At 31.8% G+C, this 13,033-nt stretch overlaps 1 protein-coding gene across 2 annotated transcripts in view; it reads right to left on the bottom strand.

Moving 5' to 3' along the window:
- The window catches only part of PCDH10 (protocadherin 10), a 59,313-nt gene that overhangs the window by 19,299 nt on the left and 26,981 nt on the right, over positions 1 to 13,033 (bottom strand). The gene's annotated exons all lie outside the window — the stretch shown is intronic.

Raw genomic sequence — 13,033 nt, 5'->3', positions numbered from 1 at the left:
GTATATGGCACATAACAGACATATAACAAAAATGTGTTGAAAATAAAGCTAGTTGAATTTAGATTAAATTTTCACATATCTCATTAAAAGTTACAAAGTACATTAAATAGCAAAACAATTATTTTAATCTCATAAATGGTTGCTTTTTTTAAACAAAGATAAGAACATGTTGATCTTCTCAACCTTATTCTCTGGTATTTCAACTCATTTCAAGACTATCTAATTATCTATTTATCCTAATTTATTTTTCCTCAAAAGCTCAGTTTCTGACCATGAAACAGTTCTTTACTAGTTCACCATTTAGCAGGCACATCAATCAAAACCATAGCAGTCGGCCGGATGTGGTGGCTCTCGTCTGTAATCCCAGCAATTTGGAAGTCCGAGTTGGGTGGGTCACCTGAGGTCAGGAGTTTGAAACCAGCCTGGCCAACATGGTGAATACCTGTCTCTACTAAAAGTACAAAATATTAGCCTGGCATGGTGGTGGGCGCCTATAATCCCAGCTACTTGGGAGGCTGAGGCAGAAGAATTGCTTGAACCCAGGAGGCAGAGGTTGCAGTGAGCTGAGATCATGCCATTGCACTCCAGCCTGTGAGACAAGAGCGAAACTCCATCTCAAAAAAAAAAAAAAAAAAAAAAAAACCCATAGCAGTCAGGCACCATCATCAACAGAAATGAAAGTGAAAATAAGTATCTACATGTATTGTGTAGTATAATAACTAGTATTGAAAGTAATCAGAACATATTTTGTAATGTATGATATCCAGAAGAATAAAATGAATTCGATACAATATATGGTAGTCATTATAACCAGGTCATAATATTCCAGAGAATATTCTACAAGTAAACGGAATTATTATTTTAATAGAATGAAATCCTATTTTTCTGTGTCCTTGAGTTCAAACTGTTTCATGAGAAACTTATATGTGAAATAATTCAAACAAATTTGTTTACACCAATCAGAATTGAAAATTATACAATAAATTAGAATAGTGAAACCTTAGAAGTCCAAGTTTATAAAACAAATCAGAGCAAATCATTACGGTCACCAAATAATTTGTTGTCTAAACTGGACCCACTGGTGAGTGAAAAGAAACACTATTATTAATTACAAAAGATTTTGTGCTTTCTGGACAACCCAGGAAAATATTGTCACCGACAAATAATATTACTCCTTTCAAAATAAGCTGGGTTGGGGCCTTTCCTGTTAATAGTAAAAATCAGAAAATGCTGATTTAGAGGAAACATTCTTTTCTTAGTTCAAGAACAAAAGAAACTCAGGAGTGACCTATAGTCAACCTATAACTAATTCATTATGTCAAAAAACTAATATACTGAAAAACTATGTTTTAGTATAAATTCAGAAAGTAGTCAACATAGCATATGTTTAGAGTAATAAAAATATCATTTCTAGTTCTTATGGCTTAAAGGCCATTAACATAAATATTATGTGTTCACTTGATTTAGTTAGGATACAAACAGAAATTGTTTCTTTTTAATAAAAGAAATTATTAAAATGGTTCACAGTTTTAAGAACACAGAAGCTTAGCACACATTATACTCAATATCTTAAATATAAACATAAACTTAAAAGACATCTTTTAATTGCTGCTTAGAGTTACGTGTTTTCTTTTTTAAAGTTCACCTATTGTACTTGTTGTCTGAATAATATAATCACCTATTATTAAATTTACTTCCTCCCACCTATGTGTTAATTCAGTAATGCAGATTTGGATAGGACAAATATAAGATCTGAACTTAGATCTGATCTAAGTTCCGAAGGTCAGAATTAATTAGATTGAGGAAGGAAGATTTCCTCCATGTTAGAAGAAGCTAATCTTACATTTATGAAGAGTTATCCCTCAGTGTCTGTGAGGGCCTGTTTCCAGGTTGCCCCCAAAATCGAAGGATGCTCAAGTCCCTTATGGCCTGTAGTGTATGCATATATCCTATGCATGTCCTCCTAAATATGTTAAATTATCTTCAGGTTACTTACAACATCTAATATAATGCCTAACACCAGGCACATCACTTCATTCACATAAATTCAAGGCAGTACTCTGTGCATGGCAAATTCAAGTTTTGCTTTTTGAAACTTTGTGGGACTTTTTTCCAAATATTTTTAATCCACAGTTGATTGAATCCACAGACAAGGAGCCCAAGGATACAGAGGAGCCAAAAATCCTGCCAACCTAGAAATAGTTTATACTATTACTAAAGTTTTAGTCACATCCGCTTTATTTCAAACCTTCTACGGGTTGAGTTTAAACACTGAATAACTATTATTCTTGGCTGGGCACGGTGGCTCAGGCCTGTAGTTCCAACAATTTGGGAGGTTGAGGCGAGCGGATCACTTGAGCCCAGGAGTTTGAGACCAGCCTGACAAACATGTCAAAAGACCATCTCTACTAGAAATACAAAAGTTAGCAGGGTTTAGTGGCACAGGCCTGTAATCCCAGCTACCTCGGAGGCTGAGGAACAAGAATTGCTTGAATCTATGAAGTGGAGGTTGCAATGAACTGAGATCTTGCCACTGCACTCCAGCCTAGGAGACAGAGCAAGGCTCTGCCTCAAAAAACAAACAAAACCTATTATTCTTTTAGGGTTGTATGGCCTAATGTTGGACAAGTAGCAAGCAAATATTATCTGACCCTCCCCACAAAAAAAATATTAATTGATGACATTTTAGAGCCAGTACCAGGACAATTATTCCAGTGTTAAGTAACATGGCTATATATTTGCTGATGCATTTTAGGTTTGACAGAATGAGTCAAATACACAGAGAATCTCTATGCTTTCTAATATATTCTATGTATGTTTTGGAATTATCAAAGCATGCTTGGAGGATTTCTTTTTCTTTTCATTTCACAAAAGCATTTTTTTCTTGTGATGCATCAGCATGTAGGGAATTGGTCACTTGATAGATAGGGAGGTTTTATTTTCAATCAAATGAAATCAGAAGTAATAGGAAAAGGACTGTGTTCCTTCTTAATTTTATTCATTCAGTGCATTTATTCTTCATAGTGAGTCATAAATGCTAGATTAAGATACTTATCTTAATATCTAAACCACAGGTGAAAATGTATCCTTAATGGAAAAGAGATTCTCAAGTATCTACCTTCTGATAACTTAGCATAGATATAATTTTTAATAAAAGTTCCATGGTGTATATTTTTCTTTATATTGTGGAATCCTATTTTTGCCTTTTATAATTTGCAACTGAATTAAGCTATGAGAAAAATTAAATACTTAAACAAATTAAAATTTTAAGGTATTAAATTGACTAATGACTTAAGACAAATGACTGTCACATGTATGTTGCAGAAATAATTGTAAAGTGGTCAGTACTGATACACTGTTCATTGCATGTAATTGCCTGGTAAAAATTATTTTATTTTATACATTAAAATAACAATTTAATAAATTGAATATTCACATGGTCAAACTTGCAAAAGAGGAAAGAAAATACCCTTTATACTTTATGATTGTATAAACCGCAGAAACTAAAGCAATACATTAAGATTATGAAATAATCTATTTCTGCAATTTAAAGAAAGGACACCCTTCGAATATCTCTGATGCCTGAGACTCTCCACTACAGTGAAAAATTTCCAGAGGCTGCGATCAGTAACCTACTCCAGAGCTTATTCAAGTGTTCAATAAGCCTCATCATCAGGACACTTCTTTACATATAAATGCATCTAGCGTACAAGAAGTTGAACAAATTACTCCCTGTGGAAGTCAGAAATATCTGCTCTCCGCTCTATGTAAAAGCACATCACACACTTCAGGACAGTTTTAAAGTGAGCCTCCATTAGAAATTTGTACAGTTAATCCATTTTTTTAACTTCCTCTGTCTTATTCTTGAGCCATGTTTAACGGTTCCCTTTAAAATCTTTTTGAATTTTTTTTTCAGTTTAACCTTATATCCAGAAATGAGCACAGTAGTGTTAACTATTAAAAGAGGGTAACTGCTTGATTTTTCATTTGCCTTCCATTTGAACACTCATATTTGCTTTTATTTTTGAAAATATAGTTGTATATTGTTTGGATTTTAAATCATATCTTTCTCTCCCCAGAAAGTATGAATAGATTAAATTCTAAATTTAAATATATATATTTATATATTTATTTATATGTGTAAATATATAAATATATACATATCTAAATGGAAAAGTTAAAAATGATTACTGTGTTTTTAGATATGTTCCTCAAATCAATTCAAATAATAATATTCAAAGTGTTTTGTCTATAGGAGTTAATATACTATCACTAGTTTTTGTCATAGTTAAAAGCACTCTTCATTCATATAATTAATTAGAAGTAAGTATGATTAAATCAAACAAAATTGAGTTACTATAACTGCATCTATTCTCTTAATAATATGAGAGGTAGTTGACACAGTTGCAGTAGTCCACTGGGTAGATATTTCCTGGTGAAACAGTTGTAAATGTACTATTGCCTTGTGAGAAGGTAGTTCTCATGTGTAAATATATAAATATATATATATAAATATATATATTTATATATATATTTATATATTTACACATATATACACAAGATTATATATAATATATAAATATATGTAAACAAATATAAATATATATATTTTATATAAATATATGTAAATAAATATAAATAAATAACTTATTTATTTATATTTATAGATAATAAAACCGGTTTATTTATTTATTTTTGAGACACAGTCTTGCTCTGGTGTGCAGTGCTGTGATCCTGGCTCACTGCAACCTCAGCTTCCCGGGTTCAGGCGATTCTTCTGTCTCAGACTACCAAGTAGCTGGGATTACAGTTGCGCACCACAACGCCAGGCTAATTTTTGTAGTTTTAGTACAGATGGGGTTTCACCATGTTGCCCAGGCTGGTCTCGAACTTCTGGCCTCAACTGATCTGCTCACCTTGGCCTCCCAAAGTCCTGGGATTATAGGCATGAGCTACTGTGCCTTGCCAAACTACGGTTCTTAATTTTAATTCATAAGGTTCATACTCTCCTAGACTAAATTTGCTTTTTTCCTTTCATCAGACAGAATTCTTTAATGCTTTTTTATTCTATTTTGACAGGGATAAGGGATTATAGAACATAGGTGGAAAACAGGAGTTTGGAGATGGTAGTATTATAATATGTACTATATGTAAACTTTATTAGTCTTTTAGAAAGCAAATCTTGTAAAATAAATGACTCAAACAAAGCTTTAGACCATTAATGTGAGAAATACATAGTAAAGGCAGGTATTTATTTTTATTTTAATTTATGTGTATATTGAATACTTACAACATAGTTTGCAATTAATAGTTATTAAATTAAAATTTAAATCCAGGGATATTTAAAAATAAGAAATCGGCAAACAGTTTTGTGAAACAGAAATATACATCAATGAATGAATAAAATGTATAATTTCAAATAGAAGAGAGAAGCATGTTGAGCATAATAATTGTCTCATAGACATTCTCGTTCTAGCAACCCTGGCACCCTTAAATAGTTGGCCATCTCTCCTAAAATTCTAATGTTACCATTGTGAAAGAGACTATTTACAACTTCAAGCTATGAATTAGAAATGGATCCATCCTAATTTTCTCACCTAGCAGAGTGTGTGCAATGAATAAATTTACTTCATTATCTGGGAGATACCTTCCAAATCAAGTAGAGCTGATATACTGTGAAAGGCCCTAAGTTTACTACCAAGAGAATTTCAAAAATTAGTATTGATCAGTGCTTATTTTTAAACCAAATTTCATTGCTATGCAAAAGACTTAACAGCTTTAAAAATAGGAGCTTTTATTTGTCCAAAAGTGTACTCCACAAATACAATGGTATACAATTACCCTCACATAGCTTTGTATGACAAAGTGAATCCACTGAAACATTACAGATTTTTTTCTAGATGGAAGATCAGTAGGCACTGAGAAATTTCTATGTATGTGTGTGTGCATGCATGTATGTGTATGTGTAAATCAAAACTACCTTCTCATAAGGTAACAGTACATTTACAACTGTTTCACCAGGAAATATCTTTCCAGTGGATTACTGCAACTATGTCAACTACCTCTCATATTATTAAGAGAATAGATGAAGTTATAGTAACTCAATTTTGTTTGATTTAATAATACTTCTAATTAATTATATGAATGAAGAGTGCTTTCAACTATGACAAAAACTAGTGATAGTGTATTAGCTCCTATAGACAAAACATTTGAATATTATTATTTGAATTGATTTGAGGAAGATATCTAAAAACACAGAGTAATCATTTTTAACTTTTCCATTTAGATACAAGAATCGTCAGTATTCTAAAGATCTATTTTTGAAACTCTAAAAAATTAAACTTTTAAATTAAAATATTTGTTTAAAAAAAGCCAAGACAATGTACTAGCATAGAATTTTGTAAAACGTTCTTCAACTTAGTTCAAGTTTCTCTAAAAATGTGAAAAATTATGTTTTAGAAGCGTAATAAATTTTCCCTTAGGAGAAAAATAACAGGATATGACCCTAACCTGGGCACGTTGGCCACCATACCAGGCTCTATTTGACAAACAGAACACCATTGCCCAATTAGTATCTCAAAGTAAAGTTTGGAGACTGAATTATTTTTCAGATGTTCTGACCCTATGCTGGTGTACATTTAGGAAATGTAAATATAACATATCTTTCTCTGCATGTTTATAATATCACTGAAAATTTTTCTGGAATCCTTCATCAGAGTCCACTAAAATATGGAAATTGTGATTTGTTCCAGAAATATTTGAAAATAGCATTGTTTACATTATCAATGAAGTATCCTTAAAATTTATTTTGAAGACAATTCACTCAGTTATATCTTACTTTAATAAGAACAAATGATACTTTCATTTAAGTTACTTTATCAGTATTGTGTGTATCTGAAGTTCCAACAAAATATCCCTACTTAAAAAAATACACAGTTCCTTTTTTTTGAGAAGTACAGAGCTGATAATATTTAGTGACATTTAGACACTTTTCAAGTGTTTTCCTTCAAAACAATATTATAAGAAGACTATATTAGCACCTTTCCTGTGAGGTTGAAACTAGCATTGATTTTCAAAACAGAAGGCATGAAAATGCTGAATGGGATTGGTCATTCCTGACTACAGGAATGTTGTGCTTGTATAAATCTATTTGCACCTATTGTATCACAATATTCACTCCAGCTACTTGTGATGTGCGCAACTTCATCTTTTATACGAAAATCAAGTATAAATTCCAACAATGTAAGATGAGAAAAAAATACAGGCAAATAATAAGACCTTCATTAAAAAACATATAGCCACGTAGCTAATGTATTAACCATCAATAACCTACTTAAGAAAGGGTAAAGTTTCAAAATAATTTAACCACAACCCAACAGATTTAAGAAATGTAAACAATTGGAAGTTCTGGGTTGGTAAATATTTCTAAACGCCTATTCAAACATATGTTCAAAGAAGACACAAGACATACAACGTAGAAACAGTGTGTAAATGTATGGCTATTTACATACTTGATGATCAGATTTTCCCTAACATAATTCAGTTACTTCTATGTCAAGGCAAACAGAAGTTTAAAAGCAGGAAGGGCAGACTAAGAAGGGGGTTAAAAATGTTCACACATTGAAAACTGGCCACAGAGAAGAGATGCAGAAAAAACAACCCTGCACTAAAGCACCAAGACTACACGTTCTGATAACCCCTTGAGTTGGGTTGCCAGAAAAAATACAGTGTGTACGATAATCTTTGAATTTCAGATAAACAATGAATAATTTTTAGTAGCTGTACGTCCCATAGAATATTTGGGTGCTAAGTATTTTTTGTTTGTTAAGTCTGGCAATGCTGTCCTCAGGGCATCTACTTCATGATAGCACAGATGACACTACTTACCACTAAAGTCAAAAAAATGTTGCATTGTGTTTTTAAATTATAGTATAGGACGAGTTTGTATAATAAGTTATCTATATATTTCCATCAAAATAATTTAAAATTAAGGCATGAGAGTTCAGAAAGATAAAAAAAACTAAGTTATCTAGAATATAAATTTTTAGTTAATGACTAATTGTCTGATTATTGTATAATCTTAACTGTTATTTAAATTATTTCTTTGTATTATGATTACATTTTATCCCTGTTTTTTTGAGTAAAATTTTTGTTTTTATGAGATGGATATAGCATATTAAATAAATATTATTTCTTCTTGGCATAGAAGGTATAATTTTTAATTGCCTATCCTAAAATGAAGGCCTGGGTACATACTTTAGTTTTAGTTATACTCTAGAAACTCATTAAACCACCTCTTTTTCTTCCTTTCAATTTAACCTGTCATCAGATAATTAGAGATTTGAAAACTCATAAGCAATGAATTAAACTTAGCTTTAAAAAAATCACAAAAATGTTAAATTATTGAAACAAGATAATATCCTGCTTGTTAAAGGTTAAAATTTATTTAATTACATTCTAATTAGATGCCAAGATTTAGATCCTTAAATCATTATGTTACTTTTGGAAACTTTAAACTTGGTTTTGAATTAGAGATCATCTTAATTATTATAAACATTTAATTACATAGCAAAGTAAAAATGTTGCATTCATATTTACTATCTATGCAAAGTATTACAATAAATTTAAATAAAAGTTCAAATTTTAATTAATCAATCTTTCTTGGGGCCAGTAAAGAATTCTGGTTAAAAAGTTTTGAAAATGTATACTCACATATATGCTTTATCATTAAACTATCACAAGTGTACAAAACTACCTACATATCTCATAATAATGTTCTCGTAAAGAAAGCAAAATCCTTCAACATGATATTAAAAAAATAGCATCTGATGTACCCATTCATTACTACAATGCCATAAAACAAATATAACTTATGCAATAATGATGGTAAGTAAGAATGCCATATACATACAAACTGTTACATAAAAACTTCAGAAACCTGAAGGAAAACTCAGGTGAATTGCCTCCAGCCATAGGTATACAGTACTATCAACAACCTCCTGTTCATAAATATTATACATATCCACAATGGCTCACCCTTTATGTTTATATTTAAGATTACCTTATATTTACTTAGTGTTTACGTATACGTTTTCCAATGATACGTGGCAGACAACTGAAAAGAAAATAGCTTAGTGAAATTAGCAGGGAGTGATGGTGAAACATGAGCTTAAAGGAGTTGTGAAAGACAAAGTGATATACCAGAAGAAAGAATAAAATAACTAGTATAGTTAGGCCAGAATAAAAACAGAAAATTATGAAAATTTGAAAGAAGATAAAATAGAGTGGAGATTATTTAGGACTGGAAATGGTTAAGATTTTTTGTGGTTTTAGTTTGCTTTTTTTAATGTCATTCAGAGACTACTGTAATTTTATTATTTATCTAAGTCAGGGTAGAGGCCTAGACAAACTATCCTGAAGAAAAAAGATTTGCACCTCATTTCCATTCAGAATATTTCATTTATTGACTCATTGATGTAGTCTATAAGCATTTATGAGCGTCTACTTTGTTCCAGACACAGTTATGGAACATGGGACCCTTAAATGGAGCAAATGATTCAGCTCTAAAAGATTTTACAGTCCAGTGGACCAACAATTGTTTCACAAAATATTCTAAAGACAGCAATTATGTTTAAGAATCTATAAGAAGTTACAGTTAGAGTGTCTGTATCTTAGTGTCTGAGAAGTCTTCTCATTAAAAGTAAAATAAATTGAATCTTGATTGATGAGTAAGAGACGGTCATGCAGATGAATGGAGAGAAAAGCGGGTTTTCAGATGAGAGAGGATGTCAGAAGAACAGAATGTATAAACACACAAGGGCTTGAGAAAAAGTATCTATGAAGAAGCTGACAAATTATTAAATGATGTGAAACAGAAATGTAGGCAGAGCTTAAGTATAAAAGTCTTTAAAAACTAGAATAAACATGAACGTTATTGTGGCTTCAACAGAGAGCCTCAAAAATGTGTTAAGAGGAGAACATGAGTCAAATATTTTGGAGAAATAGTCTAATTACTTAATATTAAAAGCTAGATAGTAAAAGAGAGGAGTCCTCATTGATTTTCGTAAGCTAGTCAGAAAGGACTGGATTTGAGGAACACAAAGTATACGCCTGCCTTCCCACAGAGCCCAGTGGGAGAACTCAGGGTTAATACTTTCCATATCTGGAAGTAGTTTGCATTCCATTACTTTAAATCTTCAAAATGTAACAAAACACTGCACTCAAAAAGACTGCCTGGCTACTTTGTGGCCAACTCAATTCTAAGGATGACTGTGAAAGGAAAAAAAGAGATGAAATGAGATGCTTAAAGAAGGGATTCCATGCCACTATCTCAAGCCTCAGGTAGTGTCCACAGCAACAAAATTTAGGAAACCTATAAAAGAGTACAGGAACTTTTTTCCATAACATTTAATGAAGAAAAAATAAGGCACATAATGATCACAGACTAATATTGAATTCACTTTATAACTGTGAGACTGAAACTTTTTAGAATAAATAATTGCTTCTAGGTTTCTTCTTTCATAGAGAGACACTCACAAGTAAACCTGACCCTAGGAAGATCTCATCTGTAACTCACAGAATTAGTGAAAACACATGGATAATTTGAATTATAGCATTTCAAATAACATATTTCAAGTGATTAAAAGTAACATACATTTGATTGTTTCCTATGCAAAAATAACCCGTCACATTTCAATTTACCAGTATTTTAAGTTATCATCTTTCCTCATGTCTGTTTTCTGCTTCCAAAAACTTTAATTAAAAAAAAAAAAGTCCAGGCCGGGTGGCTCATGCCTGTAATCCCAGCACTTTGGGAGGCCAAGGCAGACCAATCACCTGAGGTCGAGAGTTCGAGACCAGCCTGACCAACATGGAGAAACCCCGTCTCTACTAAATATACAAAATTAGCCGGTCGTGGTGGTGCATGCCTGTAATCCCAGCTACTAGGGAGGCTGAGGCAGGAGAATCGCTTGAATCCGGGAGGCAGAGGTTGCAGTGAGCCAAGATAGTGCCATTGCACTCTAGCCTGGGCAACAAGAGTGAAACTCCATCTCAAAAAAAAAGAAAAACAAAAAACAAAACAAAAAAAAACACACACTGGCTTTTTGTGCTGTCTCTATAAATGTTAGCTACTATTACTATTGGTATTATTATTCAAAATGTTTCTTGGTCTACCTAAAACAACTTTCAAATCTTAACCTTAACTATACCTCTGGATATATCTGATAGATTGGACAAGCTAGAATATTTACTTCTCCATATTTATTATTTGCTCTCTAATTCTGCATTTTGGTTCATGCACTTTCCTGCTCCTAGAATGCCCTTGGTCTCTATCCATTAAAAATCACACAGATAGTGCTTAAATAGTGGCCCCAAAGTGAGCTCTGCAAATTCTTCCTTGATTACACTGTAAGGAGTCTTTTCCAAAGATAGTCAAAGATATTTTATTCTAATAAATTAAATATCACGTTCCTCTGTTAATGCGATGAGAAATTTAACACAGACTCATTGAAAACTAGTGCATTTTGATAAGAGGAAAATGCTTAATTGCAGGTGACTATGGCAATTGCATTCACAAGCATATTAGATTAAAAAACAATTACATTTGTTTAATATTTAATTTCTTCCATTGCTAGAAATAGCAATATTAAATGCAAGAACTTTATCATTGTAAAAAAATGAGAAATTTTTCTTTTCATATGAGGAATAAACATAAATGAGAATGATTCTGAAATGAAATTGGGCACTAAAACTTAGTTGTTAGGTCTCTTGTTATTTGGGCAAACTGGTGATGTACATGCAAAACTGATGTAGAAGTTAGAAGACAGAAACACATAGAATCAAAAAAACATGAGAATTACACAGAGAGCCCATTGAATAAACTATAAGCTGTAACTAAAGTTTGGGGTTTCTTTCAAAGGGGTTTGTGACACTATTTGTTAGTTCTGTGTCACTTTGAAAGACAAATGTACAAAAATATAAATAGAAAGCTGATTGTGAGAATCAGGTTTATTAGATAATAAGATTTTAGTGAAGAACAAAGGAGGCAAAAGTATCTCTAGGCTTTTATGTGTTCAAATATTGATCTGTAACAGATATAGATATATTTGGTATATGTTACAGAAAGACAATTTTTCATACTAACAGATGGCTTTCATTTACTTTGATCATTTTCGGGCATCTATGTCTTTTACACAGGGCTATCAGAACTCTCTAGGGTAACAATATTTTGTATAAGGCTAGAATTTGCACTAATATGCCAATACAATTCTCTAAACATAGATGAGTCAAATTCTATATGGACATTGATTTTCATTATTTTAATTTTTTTTTGCCTGAGCAAATAGAAATCCTTTATTTTTCTACAATTATCAAATATAATATGCTATTTCCTATACTGAAATAAAAATCTGTTGCTTGAAAAATGAGTATTCTTCATACGATTTTCACTGTTGTATATAACCAAGTATCTTTACTTATTGTAAGCATACAAATTAAGTAAAATAATGAGAATATGAACTTTTAAAAGTTATAATCATGCTTTGTGATTAACACATGAAACAAACAAAGCTTAATCTTTGCTGAGCATTATGTATTTGGTTCTATAATATCTGTTCCATTGTTTTCTTGAATGGAACAGAAAAATAGGGAGACTGTACTTTTAAAACATGTATTATGTCAAAGAATATATACACTGCAGATGTAAAATAGTGATATATTGTGAAAAGAACATTTGGAGTCTGATTTTTCTCTGGGAGTAAAAGAGAGCATAATTAGTTCTATTTAAGCCCAGAATTGTAATTTTGTCCATACTCAGGCTGATGTCATTGTTCCAATTTTAACTGAATATATGGTTGCCTTGAACACTTAATGAGTGCCTCTTTTGGGCAGGCACTCACTGCTTTAAATATGTTAAATAATTTAATTTCCACAATGAGCTTTGGAGGATGCATGTCACAGATGGGGAAAAGGAATTATAGGAAGGTTAAAGAAATTAGAGAGGTCCCACAGCTAGTATCTGGCTGGGTCAGTA

The sequence above is a fragment of the Homo sapiens genome, chromosome 4 (assembly GCF_000001405.40).
Source record: "Homo sapiens chromosome 4, GRCh38.p14 Primary Assembly".
Taxonomy (NCBI): Eukaryota; Metazoa; Chordata; class Mammalia; order Primates; family Hominidae; genus Homo; species Homo sapiens.
The sequence above is the reverse complement of the archived record's forward strand: the minus strand, read 5'-3'. Positions and strand labels throughout refer to the sequence as shown.